This window comes from Homo sapiens, chromosome 15, assembly GCF_000001405.40.
Source record: "Homo sapiens chromosome 15, GRCh38.p14 Primary Assembly".
Classification (NCBI taxonomy): Eukaryota; Metazoa; Chordata; class Mammalia; order Primates; family Hominidae; genus Homo; species Homo sapiens.
Genome location: NC_000015.10, coordinates 59350907 through 59368500, shown reverse-complemented (window position 1 = coordinate 59368500; position 17594 = coordinate 59350907). Strand labels below are relative to the sequence as shown.

Below are 17594 nucleotides of genomic sequence, written 5' to 3'. Positions count from 1 at the left end.
GTGCTGGGATTACAGGTGCCTGCCACAATGCCCAGCTAATATTTTGTATTTTTTAGTGGAGACGGGGTTCCACTATGTTGGCCAGGCTGGTCTCAAAGTCCTGACCTCGTGATCCTCCTGCCTCGGCCTCCCAAAGTGATTACAGGCATGAGCCACTGTGCCCGGCCAGTGGTTGCAAACTTAAATGTCTTATAATTTGGTGGAGGGAGGCTGGCCTCTAGAGAGTAAATATGGAATATATGTGCCATTCTAGGAGGCACCACTACTTGATTCTAGGCCATGGTTATATCGACCATATTACCAAATTATCTTGTTTTTCAAGAGAAACTAGAAATCTAGATTTTTATGCTATATCTGCCAGTTCTTATTTTTATTTATTTTGAGACAGAGTTTTGCTCTTGTCGCCCAGGCTGGAGTGCACTGGCGCGATCTCGGTTCACTATAACCTCTGCCTCCCAGGTTCAAGCAATTCTCCTGCCTCAGCCCCCTGAGTAGCTGGGATTACAGGCCCCACCACCACACCCGCCTAATTTTTGTATTTTTAGTAGAGACAGGGTTTTACCATGTTGGCCAGGCTGGTCTCAAACTCCTGACCTCAGGTGATCTGCCCGCCTCAGCCTCCCAAAGTTCTGGGATTATAGACGTGAGCCACCACGCCCGGCCTCTGCCAATTTTTATATGTGATTTGATCATCTCAGAGGGGCCAAACACAGCTGCAGATTAGCTGTTTGCAGCCACTTTATTGTAAGTCTTAACATGGTGTCCTTCTGTGAACCACAGTGATTCTTCTCATTCACTCACCAGGAAGAATGTCTAAACGTTCACTGCATACCCAGTAGTGGCATTCAGTATTTATCCATACATCCACACCTTCCTACTGGGTCTCCCTAAAGAGAGGGAATAGCCTGGTATTTTCAGCCTATGCATTCTCTAAGCTATTATAACAGGGAAAATCTGCATCCAGCTGCTACTGTTTGGCGCTATCTCAACACCTGTGTAGGATGGTTCCACGAGTGGTGAGGCTGCAAATTGAGCTTTTCTCTTCAACCCTTCAACTCCTTCCTCCACTGAAAATGCCATGGCCTCCAATGTCACATGATGGACTTCTTGTTTTTCACTCCTTTTTCAGTTGAATCTCATGAATTGGCGGTCTGTCTCAGGCGTTTTCCTGAGGGTTAGATAATGAGCAGCGGCGTGCATTCTGATAACTTAGAATACAACATTTTGCCTCTGTGCCTAGTGTGGGCATGTGATGAGCCCCTGTGAGACTCAGTGAAAGAACATATAGTACCTTGCGTTTCCTCATGAGCCAAGTGTGGGGCCTTATTATTCATTAGGAATTTGAGAAATCTCTTTTTATCTGCTTCAACAAGCAGAAATATTTTAAATCTTCTGTGTAAGTGCAAGGTATTATAAGCTTCATGGTAGGATATATAGGAATTATGTACAGTCATGGTTTTCCAAGTTTGAGTCATCTCTTTTTTTTTTTTTTTTTTTTTTTTTGCGAAAATGCAGCAACTTGTGTTTTTACCAATCTGTGATTAAAATGTTTCTTAATGGTGAGTTTTTAAAAACTTTTTTTTTCTTTTTCTCACCATGCTGAAATATTTACAAAGTAAATAAGAGGTTAAAGGTTAAATGCCAAAGGTATTAAAATAAACATCTCAGCCTTATAAGCACATTCTGTAATAGTGGTAAACAAATTGTGTTTTGAATTTCAGTTTCAGAATTTATGTTGGCAGAGACAAAAGGTTTTGGGGCATCCTAGCAAAGTATTTTTTTCATATATCTTTGGGACAGCCACACTTAAGAGAAGTACAACTGTAAAAGCCAGCCCTAACATAGTGACATGAACTTTGACAACCCATAGAACTCAAACTGTACATGTGAATGAAGTTGGCCCGCCCTTCTGAGTTACCACCATGAGAATGACGTCATTGCCGTTGTTCAAAGCACTTTTGAATGGTCATTTATGAGCTATGTAATAAAACCTATTTTTTTGCCGGGTGTGGTCGTTCAGGCCTTTACCAAAAAAAATTTTAAAAATTAGCCACGTGTGGTGTCATGCACTATAGTCCCAGCTACTTGGGAGGCTGAGGTGGGAGGATTTCTTGAACTGAGGAGTTCAAGTATGCAGTGAGCTGTAACTGTGGCACTGCAGCCTGGGTGAGAGTGAGAGAGAGAGAGAGAAAGAGAGAGAGAGAAAAAAAAGAAAGAGACAGGGCTGGGCCCTGTGGTTCACGCCTGTAATCCCAGCACTTTGGGGGGCCGAGGTGGGCAGATCACCTGAGGTCAGGAGTTTGAGACCAGCTTGGCCAACCTGGTGAAACCCCGTCTCTACTAAAAATACAAAAGTAGCCAGGTGTGGTGGTGCATGCCTGTAATCGCAGCTACTTGGGAGGCTGAGGCAGAGAGAATCACTTGAACTTGGGAGGCGGAGGTTGCAGTGAGCCTAGATCACGCCATTGCACTCCAGCCTGGGCAACAAGAGTGAAACTCTGTCTCAAAAGAGAGAAAGAAGGGAAGAAGAGGGAAGGAGGGAGGGCCTTATTTTTTATTTTTTAACTCCTTAGTGCCCAGTGTGATCATTCCTATTACTCACCAGACTTTGTATTACATCCCTCTCAGGTGTTTCCAGAAGTTACATTGTGCCTCAAAGGCGGAACAATTAGCCCCACTAAAGATATGCAGTATCCAGCAGGTCCCTTTTTCCTGGAATAAGTATAAGAACTGCTCTGAAGGAGGCACACTCTCTTGGGTCTTTTGAGCTCTGATAATGTTTGTTACAAATTCATTTATAGCACTTTATGGTCATACGTTACATTATAGAAAGTAAAACATAGGCTACATTGTAGAAAGCCCAGAAGAGAGCTTAAAAATTCTATCCTAAATCCATTTGTTAACTTCACAGAGAGATCTAGAGAGGTTAAATTACTTCCAAAGTCTCATAGCTAGTTTTTAGCTGAGCTGGTGCCAGAATCCAAGTTAGATCTGATCCAGTGCAGATCTAACCTTATTAGATCCCAGTCTAATAAGGTTTTTCTTACCAAACAGTGGTGGGAATAATTCTTTAAGAGTCTGGACGTGACCAGATAGTTTTCTTTCTGGGACTTTTCAAGAAAGTCTGCTTGTAGGTGGAAGGTTACTGTACTAACTTCATTATAAGAAATTTAGAAGAATTCAGCCGGGCGCGGTGGCTAACGCCCGTAATCCCAGCACTTTGGAAGGCTGAGGTGGAGGGATCACCTGAGGTCAGAAGTCCGAGACCAGCCTGGCCAACATGGTGAAACCCTGTCTCTACTAAAAATAAAAAATTAGCCGAGTGTGGTGGCAGGCACCTGTAATCTCAGCTACTTGGGAGGCTGAGGCAGGAGAACTGCTTGAACCTGGGAGGCCGAGGTTGCAGTGAGCCGAGATCACACCATTGCACTACAGCCTGGGGCACATCTCAAAAAAGAAAAAAAAAAAGAAAAAGAAATTTAGAATAATTCACCCAAAGTACCCCCACACCCTAACACAGTAATTATTTTTGTCTCTGGGTTTCCTTTCAGTCTGTTCAAATGCATTGTTTCTTTGTTTGTTTGTTTTTCTTGAGATGGAGTCTCACTCTGTCGCCCAGGCTGGAGTGCAGTGGCATAATCTCGGCTCACTGTAACCTCCTTCTGCCTCCCAGTTTCAAGCGATTCTCCTGCCTCAACCTCCTGAGTAGCTGGGATTATAGGTACACACTACCATGCCCGGCCAACTGTTTTATTTTTAGTAGGGACAGGGTTTCACCATGTTGGCCAGGCTGGTCTTGAACTCCTGGCCTCAAGTGACCCACCTTGACCTCCCAAAGTGCTGGGATTATAGGCATGAGCCACCACACCGGGCCTCAAACACATTGTTTTTATGTGGTTGTAATTATGGGGCAAATATACAATTTGTGTTCTGTTATTTTTCCACTTGTTTTACAAATCCTTTTTCTTGATAAGCATATTTGTTATATTTTGGTGGCAGTATTATAATCCCATGTAGCCGGATTACTCACTGTGTGTCATAACTGTATGGAGACTTCCTCCAGAAGTGTGTACAGGGGAGAGTTCCTCCTTCCACCCACTAGAACCGCTGTGGTCAGTAATGGGCTGCTTAATCTTTGGCTCCTGAGATAAGAAGCCCCCTCTTTGGGTGAGCTTGGGATGCATACTCCACATTCCCAGGTTCTAGCCCAAAGGTACCTACCATTGGTGCTCCCCCTGGATTCTGGCGTTGACACTCAAATATGTGACACCAGTGGGTACTCAGACCTCTAGGTCTTCCTTGGCAAATATGAGTGGTCTTACCAGAGAACGGGAGTGGATGGAGATGGAGAGCTTTGAACCTCAAAGTGGAGAGAAGACATTGCCATGGCAAAGGAGGTTAGCATACAGGCTTGGTGAATTAGAGCTGGGCATGGTGGCTCAGGCCTGTTATCCCAGCACTTTGGGAGGCCGAGGAGGGCAGATCACTTGAGGTCAGGAGTTCGAGACCAGCCTGGCCAACATGTCAAAACCCCCGTCTCTACTAAAAATACAAAAAAATTAGCTGGGTGGGGTGGCGGGCACCTGTAATCCCAGCTACTCGGGAGGCTGAGGCAGGAGAATCGCTTGAAATGGGAGGCAGAGGTTGTGGTGAACCAAGATCTTGCCACTGCACTCCAGTCTGGGCGACAGAGCAAGATTCCGTCTCCAAAAAGATGAATTAGTCTCTCTGCCTCTGCTTATGAGAAGCTCCCCATATAGTGGAGAAATGATAACAAAAGGCTTCCATATACATGATTTCATTTCATTCTAGCACCAGTGTTGGTTTTTATTGCCATTTTACAGGTAAGAAAATCAAAGTGTAGTGAGGGGAGGGGAATTACTTAGGGCCACACAATTTGTATGTGACCAGCCAGATCTGCTAAGTCCATGCTCTTTGAAAAGTGGTTCAATAAATTATTTCTAAATTTGACAATGCCGAGTCCACGTATTTGTATACTTTTTCATTATTTCACATACTCCTGAGGGAAGGTAAGGCTGATAGAAAATCACCAATTTTGGTTGATTTTATTCAGTAATACCAGAGGGGATAATTTAGACTTAAGAACATTGTCTGTTATGAGTAGTAGTGTTCTGAGTTTTAATTTCCTTGCTTTGGGACTTTGCCATAGAGACTAGAAGATGTCATAGTGAGAGCAAGCATAAAAGTAAAAGAAAGTAATACTGGCCGGGCATGGTGGCTCACGCCTGTAATCCCAGCACCTTGGGAGGCCGAGGCGGGTGGATCACGAGGTCAGGAGATCGAGACCATCCTGGCTAACATGGTGAAACCCCGTCTCTACTAACAATGCAAAAAAAATTAGCCAGGCATGGTGGTGGGCACCAGTAGTCCCAGCTACTCAGGAGGCTGAGGTGGGAGAATGGCGTGAGCCTGGGAGGCGGAGCTTGCAGTGAGCCGAGATCGTGCCACTGCATTCCAGCCTGGGTGACACAGCGAGACTCCGTCTCAAAAAAAAAAAAAAAAAGAAAGTCATACTAGAAGGCTCTCTAATCTTAACTAGGATTAAAAAAAATAGAAAATAGGAAAATGTGAGAACAACAGAGATTTAGTTGTTTAATTCTTAAATACATTACAGAATACAACAACAAAATTAGAATATCACATTGTTAGTCTCCTAATAATTTCTTCGGTGTGACCACCATTTGATGTTGACAGCAATTTAGGATAACATTACATGGTCACAGAATATTTTGGACAGTATTATCTGATTCTAAGAAATTTTCAATGAAAAAATAATAGGGCTGTTTTTGGTGTCCTAGGAAGATGCAGACCTTATAGAAAATTTTAGATTTAAATGCAGAAGAATCTAATAAGCTATTTTAAGAATGTAAGTAAAGATAGCTTCCTTCAAGGCTTGGGAATGCTGTAATGCAGAAATATGCATCAATGCAAAATGATGACAGTGCCCTTTCTCCACATCAGATTATCAGAGATTCCTAACATTTGGATGGGAGAATGTCCTGAGTCCTCTGAGAATATGTTGGAAGCTACTGACCTTTTCCCTGACAGTGTTTATAATAACAAATAAACATTCCGCAGATCACGAGAACAAACAAAACAGGAACAATCTAAATGTTCATTGGAAGAGAAATACATGTGGCTTGTTTGATAATATGGTATCAATATGCATAGGTGTCACAAGGGTAGTGTTTGGTAAAGAAGCAAGTTGTAGAAAGACGCATATCTGAAACCATGTAAGAAAAATGTCAAAAACACAAAATAAGACTGCTATTTGGGGGTCTATACATTTATTTGTGTATGTGTACATATATGTATTTGTGTGGATATTATTTTAAAAAATATAGGCTGGGCGTGGTGGCTCATGCTTGTAATCCTAGCACTTTGGAAGGCCGAGGCGGGTGGATCACCTGAGGTCAGGAGTTCGAGACCAGCCTAGCCAACATAGCGAAACCCCATCTCTATTAAAAATACAAAAATTAGCCTGGCGTGGTGGTAGACGCCCGTAATCCCAGCTACTCGGGAGGCTGAGGCAGGAGAATCGTTTGAACCCAGGAGGAGGAGGTTGCAGTAAGCTGAGATCATTCCACTGTACTCCAGCCTGGGCGATACAGCCAGACTCCATCTCAAAAAATAAATAAATTAATTAATAAATTAATTAAAAAAATCCACAGACTAGAAAGATCCACACCAAGTTCAAAATACTGAAGGGGGAAAGAGGAAAGGGAGACGACTGAGTCAGTAATGTTTTATTTGCTTTACATATAGAAAAATCCAAAGCAAATATGATGAGATATTATTAATTCTAGGCAGTTGTACATATATATTTCTTTGTTATCCTCTGTAGTTTTAACATCTTTTCTCAGTTCAGATGAAAAAATACATATAATTCTTCATTTAACTTCAGGAGGTTTATAAACCCCTGAAGCCCATACAGTAGCATTCCAAGAATTACAACTAACATTGTCTTGAAATGAGTATTAGGGAGTATGGTCAATTTTGGATCTATGTCAGGTTATTTCAATGACAGTTGACATACAGTCGCATCAATAGTGAGTCCCACTGACTATTGTGTAAAGAGCCATTAGGGGATATGTCTCCCAATGTTCAATACATCTTAGCTCTGCTTAGCCACCTTTTCTTGTGTTAGCTTTTGGTGTGACCAATCACCCAAACTCAGTAACTTAAATAATAAATGTTTATACTTTCTTATGATTTTGTGCACTGGCGTGGCAGTTCTGGTCTCAGCTGGTTCATTCAATCACTGTGGTCAGCTAGTGGCTTGGCTGGGAATGGATGATCTAGGGTGGCCTCACTCACATGTCTGGTAGTTGGTCCAGTCTCAGCTGGGGCCATGGGATGGCTTGGCCATGTGTCTCTTGTCACAACAGTCTAGCTCTGGCTTGTTTACATAGTAGTGGTCACACCACAGGGTTCCCAAGAAAAGCAAGGGTACAAGCTCCAGGGCACACACATTTTTCAACCCTTGCTTGCGTCATGCTTGCTATTATCCCCATTGGCTGAAGCAAGTCACACTGTCAAGTCCAGAGTCACTGTGGAAGAGGACTGCCCAAAGGCTCAGATTCAGTTCCCTACCCTCAACCTTTTCTGTCAACTTTCCTACATTGCGGGAATACTTGGAGGCAGGAATAGATTGAGTGGTAGCTCCAGTTTTCTCTGGCTGATCCCCTGAACCCCTTTGTTTGACAGAAGCCAGCATGGCTCCTGCTCTGTCTGCTGCTGCTTTCCCAAGCAAGGCATGAGGAATCGGAGCTGAAGTCCTTTTGTAGTGATGAGGCTCAGTCTCATTCTAAAACTGCTGTCTTTTGTTGGGGGAAAAAAAGGGCAAAAACAGAAGCTAACAACAAGAAGGAAAATCATTTTCTATCTGCTAAAGGGTGCTTTACAAGAATAACAAACATTTTACATTAAGTCCAAAGTTAGAGAGCAATGAATCATGCCAAACCATGCTGGGCTCGATGGCCTGCTGGACAGAAAGGGGAATGCAGGCCTTCCAAGGTGGGGACAATACTTCTTGCTGCCCAATTCTGCATTTTCGCCCACCTCTGAGCTGTCCATGTGAAGAAAGACATTCCACACACAGACAAAAATTCTTTTTTTTTTCCCCTTGGTTGAAAGTCATGTCTTTTGGACTGTAAGATGGTTCTCAAAATAACCCTGTGTCAATTCCATATTCTGTGAGCCACAGATTTTGCTATCTGTGGGCTCGTCAAGACGTGAATCGAGTAGGATTAGTTTAGCTTCGTGCCCAGGACTTGTACAGGACGTGAAAAATTCCTTGACCTCCTGATCTTTCACTTTGACTTTCTGTTCTGTCTTTCAATCAAAAATGTAAAAATAAGTAAGTTGGAGAGAAAACAAATCCCTCAACTTCAGCCGTTGACAACTCATGACCAATCTTGATTTCACTGTTCTTATCTTCCCCTGGTTTCTTTAGAAGCAAATCCTAGATAGCATACCATTTCATCCATAAATATCTCCATATTATATTGGCTTTCACATAGAGCAAAGCTAGACACTAACTGCTCATTGGACTGAAAGAAGAGATATACTCAGAGAACCAAAGCAAATAGCTTCCCTTTAAGTTTTAATAGGAGTGGCTTTGTTTTATAGAACGCTGTAGGCATCTCCAGCCACTGAGGGGACTTCTTCAAGCTTGGCCCAGCCTCATCCACAGAAGGATCTGGCAGTGATATCTTGGCATTCATAGTCTCAGTGTGCAGGACAGCATTGGTTCCCCACCCTACAGTCCCAGCTCTACCTAGGCAGTATCATATGTATCATGGTAATGGCTATGGAAAATAATATCCCTCCCTCCCTGCCTCCCTTCCCCTCTTCCTCTTTTTAGAGATGAGGTCTTGCTGTGTTGCCCAGGCTGGTCTCAAACTCCTGGCCTCAAGTGATCCTCCTATCTCAGCCTCCCAAAGTGCTGGGATTACAGGTGTGAGCCACCGCATGCAGCCTCTTTCTTTTTTGACAGGGTCTTGCTCTGCCATCCAGGCTGAAGTGCAGTGGTGTGATCTTGTCTCACTGTAGCCTCAACCTCCTAGGCTCAAGAGAGCCTCCCATCTCAGCCTCTTGAGTATCTGGGACTACAGGCATGAGCTGCCATGCCTAGCTAATTAAAAAAAAAAATATATATATATATTATATATATATACACATACATATATATATATATGTATGTAAAATATATATATATTTTACAGGGTCTCACTTTGTTGCTCAGGCTAGTCTAGAACTCCTGGTCTCCAGCGATTCTCCTGCCTTGGTGGCCCAAAATGCTGGGATTATAGGTGACAGCTACTGTGCCCAACCTTGTTTCTTTCAGTGACCAAATAGCTTTAAATATAGAATGTCAAGATGAGAAGTATCCTGGAGACCACTTCCAGGGTAGTCTATGAAATTGTTTGTGTCCATATTCATTCTTAAGTGAATTTTTTCCTGGGAAAAAGATTCATAAATCCCCAATGTGGTTCATGGTCTCCCCAAGTGACCCTTTAAGGTCCAGGGAACTGTGGTGGCCTGACCTAGGTCTCTCAGTTACTTGGCAAGTTAATAGCAGAGTTGTCCCTAGAATACAAGTCTCTTAACCCACAGTTCAGGAATTATGGTCGTAAACCTGCTTTTACTGGAAATGTTTGAAAATCAAACATAATGGTGTATTAGAAGAGAGGTTCAAAGTGGTAAATTTTTCTGTGATCACAAAGAGAAATGCATTCAATACAGACTCCAAATAAATATGTCAGGGACATAAAGTTTTTACTTTATATAAATAATTGAAAACCCATTTTCCTGGTGAGGATACATTGATATTAATTAGAAAATTAGTATTTAATAGTTGACATAAGAAATTGCTGGGCCTTAATATCTGGACTCTGGAGCAGATTTCTGTGCTTTGTTTCTATGATCTAGAACTAGGGCTTGGGGTGTAGAAAAACTGGGATGGCCTTTTCCTTCTAGCTCTTTCTCTCACACACCCTCACACCCCAAACCCATCTTCCAACTAGTGTCCTTTTCTTTCCCCACAAGGCCTCTTGTCCATCCTCTCCTTGAAGCATTCATCTGGACTTGGAAAGGATGAGGAGAGCTGGAGAAGGCAGGAGACATAGTTTGCACCTGCTGAGAAGTGAGGAAACATAAGTAAGGCCAGTAAACCAAAGGGAGCTCTCTCCTCCTCCTCATCCTCCTCTTCCTCCTCATCCTCCTCTTCCTCTTTCTCCTTTTTGTCCTCCTCCTCCTCTTCCCTAAGGCTCTCTTGATACTCCTTGGTCCAGCCCTGCTTAGCAACTCTCCAAGCAAGCATGGAGGACAATGTGGCAAGCATTGTCTGCTCTATGGAGACAAGGAGACATCATCCTCTTTGTTTGGGGCTATGAGTCAAGAGTCTTCAGTTTTTTGCAGCAGTTGTATTTAAGTGTCAGTTGACAAAAGTGAATTTTATATGCTCCAATTAAGATGTAGTGAATTGTGACATTCTACCACTTGCCAAGTCCTGTGATTCCACCTCTGCAGTGTGGCTACACTCACCTATATCAGCTGACCAAATTCATCCACTTGGTGTTTCCCTTTCAGGCTTAGATGTTCTCCATCTTCAGCTTGTGTCTGGCTGGAATCAATTCCTCCCCCTCTCCATCCCGTCAGTCTAATTCTTCTTTTAAACCAGCCTTAACTCTGCCTTCTTGAGCCTCATCATTGAAAATTACCTCCTTGGCAAGGTATGGTGGCTCACGCCTGTAATCCCAGCACTTTGGGAGGCCAAGGTAGGTGGATCACCTGAGGTCAGGAGTTTCAGACCATCCTGGCCAACATGGTGAAACCCTGTCTCTACTAAAAATACAAAACAACAACAACAACAACAACAACAAAAATAGCCAGGCGTGGTGGTAGGCACCTGTAATCCTAGCTACTCGGGAGGCTGAGACAAGAGAACTGCTTGAACCCGGGAGGCGGAGGTTGCAGTGAGCCAAGATTGCACCACTGCTCTCCAGCCTGGGCGACAGAGTGAGACTCGTCTCAAAAAAAAAAAAAAAAAGTTATCTCCTTCTTCAAAATCTCATGAGCACTTTATCTATAAAGATCTTATAATTGCTAATGTGCATTTTGTCTTTCCTTCTGATCAGTTACTTTTCAGGTAGAATCCTTTCTCGTTCAGCTTTGTATCCCAGCCTCTCCTCTCCCCATTCCCACCTCCCCTCGTTGTTTCTTGACTTCCAATACTTGAGTATATGATACTATTTTAAAACTTAATGAGAGGACCAGGCACGGTGGCTCACACCTGTAATCCCAGCACTTTGAGAGGCTGAGGTGGGTGGATCACCTGAGGTCAGGAGTTCAAGACCAGCCTGGTCAACAGGGCGAAACCTCATCTCTACTGAAAATACAAGAATTAGCTGGGTGTGGTGGTGGGCGCCTGTAATCCCAGCTACTTGAGAGGCTGAGGCAGGAGAATTGCTTGAACCCGGGAGGTGGAGGTTGCAGTGAGCCGAGATCGTGCCATTGCACTCCAGCCTAGGCAGCAAGAGTGAAACTCCATCTCAAAAAAAAAAAACCAAAAACAAACAAACAAACAAAAAAAAAAACTTAACAGGAGGCAGGGCACAGTGGTGCAACGCCTGTAATCCCAGCACTTTAAGAGGCCAAGGGAGGCAGATCCCTTGAGCTTAGGAGTTCAGGACCAGTCTGGGCAACATGGCAAAGACCTGCCAATACAGAAAATAGCCGGTTGTGGTGTTACACACTTGTAGTCCCAGCTACTTGGGAGGCTTATGTGGGAGGATTGCTGGAGCCCGGGAGGCAGAGGGTGCAGTGAGCCGAGATTGCAGAGAGAGACCCTGTTTCAGGAAAAACAACAACAAAAAACCCCAAAAAACTTAATGGGAAAAATGTTTGTATTTCTTTTTGTTATGCATCAGTATACAATCTTTAAAACTACCCCCAGGTCTTTTCCTTGAGGGACAAAAGTAGGATGCAGAACTGCCTACAAGGTGGAGCATTCTTAAAATCTACTCCAAAAAACTGCTGCTCGTGGGTACTCAGCTGATAGAATGAACAGGAGTGAATGAATAGGTGAAAGCACCCTGTGATTTGAATGTCGCAAGCCTTTCATTTTCGTTGGAACCTTGTCTGATGTGTGTCACTCCCCACTCCGTTGTGCTTGCCCTTCGGAAAGATGGAATGGTGAGGACAGAGAGGAGACAGGTGATAAAAAGACACTTAAAAGGGCACCTGAAAGCCAGGTGGCTTGTCCCTGGAAGGCAGTAGAAAGCAATCTGCAGTCATGATGCCTTTCTTCACTCAGCAGCAGCTATAATGTTGAAAATGGGGCAAACGCCTTCCCCGTGCAACTGTTTAACAAAAGGTAGTTCTCCTAGAAAACAGAATCTGTTGTATATGTTGCCAGTGATTTTCACAAGTGTAGATGCCTAAGAAATAGGCAAATATGCTGAGCGTGGTGGCTCACACTTATAATCCCAGCACTTTGGGAGGCCTAGGCAGGTGGATTGCTTGAGCCCAGGCATTCGAAACCAGCCTGGGCAACATTGTGAGACCCCGTCTCTACAAAAAAATAAACGAAAATTAGCCAGACATCGTGGTGTGTGCCTGTAGTTCCAGCTACTTGGGAGGCTGAGGTGGGAAGATTGCTTGATCCTGGCAGGTTGAGGCTGCCGTGAGCCCTGATCATGCCACTGTACTCCAGCCTGGGTGACAGAGTCAGAGCCTGTCTCAAAAAAAAAAGAAATAGGCAAATACAAGAGATGGAAAAAGGAATCGAAAGAATTGCCATGGGATTGCGCATTAGACAATTTGCTTTTTAAAATTGCATGTGGTTTTGAAGGACAGGTTGAATTTGGATGTTTAAAATGCTTAGTGAAACTAAGACTGGCAGGGTCAAACTGTGCGCATAAAATCTTTGTTCTGGAACTCAAGTGAAAAATTGGCAGATTTGCACTTTTTGAGCTTTTTAGAGTCCATTTCCAGCTCCAGGTGGCTGGGTGAAGTATCCTAAGCTCTACAGAAGGGTAAAAGAAATAGCCTCCCACGTGAGTGGCAGGAGTAGGTAACCTGTAGTATCTGGAAAGATATGTAGATCACCACCAGTTAGAACATTTGGAAGGAGGAATTGCCAGTGGCTTGTAGACAAGGAATGGAGGAGTTGAGACAGGCAAGGTAAATTGGGGCCCTCCTGCCAATTGGAAGTTTTTGAGTGATATTTTTAATATTTATTATTCCATCCTCCTTGGTTGGAAAGTCACGACGGAGAGGGACACTGTCATGCTCATGGTTTGTGTTTGTATTTCTGGCATGGGGTAGAATTGGCAACTTTGCTGAATTGAACAACTGTTCCCCACTAGACCAAAAGTGCCCAGAGGACTGAAAACCCTCCAATTCAACTTGGTGGCAGCAAGGCAGCCGCCAGTGAATGAGTGATTGATGAGAGCCAGCGGATTAAAGGAGACAACTAATTGTAAACTGGAAATAGTTTTCAAAGATAAAAGTAGCCCCCTCAGATAAAACCACTAGGGCTTCCTTTTGAGTTTTCTTTTCACAGAACAGGATATTAGTGGTTCGGTGGGGCTCCTGCAGGAGGGGGTAGCTGTGGAGGGAAGCTGGTAGGCTGGGAAGGTTTCTACCTGTTTCTCACTCCTTTCCTACTAACGCCCCTTCAATTGAGAGGCTAGGTAATTATAATTACCTGAGATCACACAACCAGTCCTGACCTGTCCCCACAAGGGGTGGAGCTACTCTTTCCAGGTCAAAATGGAAACCAAATTCACCACTATCCGTTCAAAAGCTCCCAACTCCGAACAAAGAGCCATTGCAATGGTGCCCACCTGGGCACCATTTTGGAGCCTGATATTTATTATCACATTTAGGTTCACATGCCAGGTGCCCACCTGGCATGGAGGCAGCAGTCTGTTCGAGTTCTGCCACCTGAGGACACCCAGGCCTGTGACCCCAAGCGAGGGCTTTTCTGACGTTTGTGGGGGAGTGGTTAGGCTGCTTTTGCTGATATGAAAGATCACTGCTAGATTCATGGCCAGGATAAGAAGGTTTTCCTTGTTAGGTGATACGGACTTTCAGAATGTGAAATTTCCTGACCAAGGTTGTGTCTGTTCTGGTTTAAAGACGAGGATTTGCTGCCTTTGTTTTTCCTTAAGCCAACGTGCCATCCACCTGTGCTAGAGGAATCTGGTATTGCTCTCCTCCAAAGGCCAGGACGGTCTCAAAGGAGACAGGCTAATGGCTTAATTGTTTTGTTTATTCTGCTCCCCACAAATTCCAGTAGCTTCATTTACATTCAGAGAACTTTTTTCAACTGTATTGTCATTTCCCTTGGTTTTGAATGGCTCTTAATGTTTGCCCTTCATGTTGTTTTGAAAGGTTGATCGAGCCGTTAGTGAAGGGTGTGGCTTTCTCCAAATGGGGGTTTTTCTTAGTGTGTGGTAGAGAAAGTGAGAGTAATTTTAAAAATAAAATATGCACATTTTTTCTATCTGTACACACAAACTCTAGATTATTTTGGAGCCTATTTATGTTCACATGCTTTAGGTTTTGGGAGTTAAAAGATTAATGTGTACAAGGGAATGGTGATATTTAACAGGACAAAAATTTCGCTTTTACAGAGCTGTGGTTTGCTTTTCAAAATGTAGAGGTTTCTTTACCTTTGCGTTTTTTTCTTTCTTTGTTTTTTTTTTTTTTTGAGACGGAGTTTTGCTCTTGTTGCTCAAGCTGGGGTGCAATGGCATGATTTCAGCTCACTGCATCCTCCACCTCCTGGGTTCAAGTGATTCTTCTGCCTCAGCCTTCCGAGTAGCTGGGATTACAGGCGTGCGCCACCACACCCGGCTATTTTTTTGTATTTTTAGTAGAAACGGGGTTTCTCCATGTTAGCCAGATGGTCTTGAACTCCTGACCTCAGGTAATCCACCCGCCTCAGCCTCCCAAAGTGCTGAGATTACAGGTGTGAGCCACCGCACCTGGCCTGTTTCTTCACCTTTGACAAAGAATCCAGTATAAGACTATTCTGGTTCGTGTTGTAAATGGATTTTTTTTTCTTTTTTTTCTTTTCTTTTCTTTTCTTTTCTTTTTTTTTTTTTTTTTGAGACAGGGTCTCTATCTGTCACCCAGGCTGGAGTACAGTGGTGCCATCACAGCTCACTGCAGCCTTAAACTCCTGGGGTCAAGCAATCCTCTTACCTCAGCCTCCCAAGTAGCTGGGACTACAGGCGCGCACCACTACACCTGGCTTAAATGCATTTTTATAATTTTAGTATAAACAAGACATTTTAGATTGAATAACTTTGTAATGTGCTAGGACAGTAGTTTTTAATGCAGGTGGGATCCAACTTTTGAGAAAGGGAAATGTGAAGGTTGAAGAAACTTAAAAATCAACTGCCGTTGGCTAGATCTAGGTGTGCTGACTTCCTTAGAAAAGAAATGCTTCCTTTCCCTGCAAACCGGAGTTTGGGAAATTTAGAGCTAGGAAATCATGTGGTCGATCTTAACGTTATAAATCACTCAGACAAATACAGGATAATGCTGTTTTCGGAAGTGCTTGTGATTGTACAGGATTACATGGTGATAAAGAGTTTTCAATGGCTCCTCCAGTTTCTGAGGGAGTTCTGTGCTTTGCTTTCTTGGTAATTCCTTCTGCAGACCTTAGAGCCTTTGAGGGGGGCTGGGTATGCTTCCGTGAATTTAACAGTTTAACACACTGTTGAATAGAAGAGAATCTGCTATTGGAACTAGCGATTACTAAGAAACCACTTCTATATCATCCAGCATTTGTATCTACTTTAAAGTACATATTAGTATTTTCCTTGGTTTACAGATGAGGAAAATGAGTTAGGTACCGTGTTTAAGGTTACCCATCTGAAAAGTGGCAGAGAGGGGATTTAAACTCCTGGTCATCTGAATCTAAGGTCTGCTTAGAAGAGGAGCTGTTTGCTTCTAGACACATGCGTATTTAGGTTGTGGGTCCACGGACTAATAGCGTGGGCATCCCTGGGATATTATTAGAAATGCAGAACTTCAGGTCCCACCCACACCTGATTGCAGATCTGTGTTTTAACAAGGTCTCTAGATGATTGCAAAGCACTACGGCACAGGGACACTTCCCCAGAGGAAGTGTGATGGCCGCCCTCCAGGATATCATCTTCCAAGGTTAGGGACGTGCCAAATATCCCAAGCTTTCAGATATGCGACTCAATCATCTCTAATTATCCTGCTCAACCAAAAATTAAAGAGCGATTCTTCCAAGTGGAATCGAGGGAAACTTTTCTCCTGGACAATTCTGGAGGGAGTCCAGCTATCCTTAAGGAGATGCACAGAATAGGCTGTTGCCGACAGCATGCTTGGAAAACCTATCAACCCGGGGTGCCTCTTCCACGGCTGCTGTCCATGCTATACTTTCTCCCATTACTGATCCCTCTGAACTAGTCTATCAAACCTTCTCCTAAAGAGGGTGAGAACAGATTTTGTCAGGCCAGAGAGGAAGAAAGAGATCCAGAATGGGGACGATCAATAGCATGAAAATAGAGAAGGGCATTGAAAAGAGCCCAGCCTTCAGAACACTCCAGTCCTGGCGCTGGAGAACTGCACCTTACCTTTTACTCCTACCTGGTTTTCCTTTTAGAATTCCCCCAGGCATCTATGCTGGAGACAGTAGTGTCTTTGTCTGTTGTTCCCATCCCTGCCTTGCTCCTGCCATTTCCAACGTCCTGTGAGTATATCTTCACAGGACTCCCCCTTCCTTTTCACAGTGGCCACCCTAGTTTGGATGTGCATTGTCTTACACTGGGAACATTATAAGCGTTTCTTAAGTGGTCTTCACTCTTATCCCCCGGTAATTCACAGAAATAGCATCAGCGCAATCATCTTCTAGTAACACGGCTTTGCATCTGTCACTCTTCCTCAAAAACTCTCAGTTCCTACTGGGAACAGTCTAAAGACCAAAATGCATTACGGTCTAAATTAAACCAATTACTGGTTGCATTTATCCAACTCTATTTTCCAGTAGTCCTTCTCAAATAAATTCCGTGAGGGCAGCCTACATGCCTTGTTCCTGCTATTAGCTCCTAGCACAGTGCTTGTACACAGTGGATTTTCACTAAATATTGATTGAATGAACGAATGAACTTATTCTCAGGTTTATGTTTTATAGTCTGCCTAGAATACACTCCTTGGTCAGGCCATTTCCTGTGACTAGATTTCCCTTCCCTTTTTTCCTGTTCATCTGAATCCTTAAAAAACCAAGTAAGGCCGGGTGCGGTGGCTCACACCTGTAATCCCAGCACTTTGGGAGGCCGAGGTGGGCCGATCACGAGGTCGGGAGATCGAGACCATCCTGGCTAACACGGTGAAACCCTGTGTCTACTAAAAATACACAAAAAAATTAGCTGGGCGTGGTGGTGGACGCCTGTAGTCCCAGCTACTCTGGAGGCTGAGGCTGGAGAATGGCGTGAACCTGGGAGGCGGAGCTTGCATTGAGCCGAGATCGCGCCACTGCACGCCAGCCTGGGTGACAGAGCGAGACTCCGTCTCAAAAAAGA

General features: G+C 43.8%; 1 protein-coding gene across 1 annotated transcript in view, besides 7 other annotated features; it reads left to right on the top strand.

Annotated features, from left to right (window-relative positions):
* Positions 1-17594, top strand: part of MYO1E (myosin IE) — a 240438-nt gene that overhangs the window by 4371 nt on the left and 218473 nt on the right. The window lies entirely within an intron of this gene.
* Positions 1695-2277: an enhancer, noted in NCBI's record as "H3K27ac-H3K4me1 hESC enhancer chr15:59658423-59659005 (GRCh37/hg19 assembly coordinates)". NCBI's record gives its function as "activates a minimal SCP1, AML or CMV promoter by ChIP-STARR-seq in primed H9 embryonic stem cells {active_cell/tissue: H9 hESC(primed)}" and the evidence as "EXISTENCE:reporter gene assay evidence [ECO:0000049][PMID:30033119]".
* Positions 2278-2862: an enhancer, noted in NCBI's record as "H3K27ac-H3K4me1 hESC enhancer chr15:59657838-59658422 (GRCh37/hg19 assembly coordinates)". NCBI's record gives its function as "activates a minimal SCP1, AML or CMV promoter by ChIP-STARR-seq in primed H9 embryonic stem cells {active_cell/tissue: H9 hESC(primed)}" and the evidence as "EXISTENCE:reporter gene assay evidence [ECO:0000049][PMID:30033119]".
* Positions 6996-7495: an enhancer, noted in NCBI's record as "H3K4me1 hESC enhancer chr15:59653205-59653704 (GRCh37/hg19 assembly coordinates)". NCBI's record gives its function as "activates a minimal SCP1, AML or CMV promoter by ChIP-STARR-seq in primed H9 embryonic stem cells {active_cell/tissue: H9 hESC(primed)}" and the evidence as "EXISTENCE:reporter gene assay evidence [ECO:0000049][PMID:30033119]".
* Positions 7496-7997: an enhancer, noted in NCBI's record as "H3K4me1 hESC enhancer chr15:59652703-59653204 (GRCh37/hg19 assembly coordinates)". NCBI's record gives its function as "activates a minimal SCP1, AML or CMV promoter by ChIP-STARR-seq in primed H9 embryonic stem cells {active_cell/tissue: H9 hESC(primed)}" and the evidence as "EXISTENCE:reporter gene assay evidence [ECO:0000049][PMID:30033119]".
* Positions 13225-13744: an enhancer, noted in NCBI's record as "NANOG-H3K27ac-H3K4me1 hESC enhancer chr15:59646956-59647475 (GRCh37/hg19 assembly coordinates)". NCBI's record gives its function as "activates a minimal SCP1, AML or CMV promoter by ChIP-STARR-seq in primed H9 embryonic stem cells {active_cell/tissue: H9 hESC(primed)}" and the evidence as "EXISTENCE:reporter gene assay evidence [ECO:0000049][PMID:30033119]".
* Positions 13745-14265: an enhancer, noted in NCBI's record as "OCT4-NANOG-H3K27ac-H3K4me1 hESC enhancer chr15:59646435-59646955 (GRCh37/hg19 assembly coordinates)". NCBI's record gives its function as "activates a minimal SCP1, AML or CMV promoter by ChIP-STARR-seq in naive and primed H9 embryonic stem cells {active_cell/tissue: H9 hESC(naive and primed)}" and the evidence as "EXISTENCE:reporter gene assay evidence [ECO:0000049][PMID:30033119]".
* Positions 14266-14785: an enhancer, noted in NCBI's record as "OCT4-NANOG-H3K27ac-H3K4me1 hESC enhancer chr15:59645915-59646434 (GRCh37/hg19 assembly coordinates)". NCBI's record gives its function as "activates a minimal SCP1, AML or CMV promoter by ChIP-STARR-seq in naive and primed H9 embryonic stem cells {active_cell/tissue: H9 hESC(naive and primed)}" and the evidence as "EXISTENCE:reporter gene assay evidence [ECO:0000049][PMID:30033119]".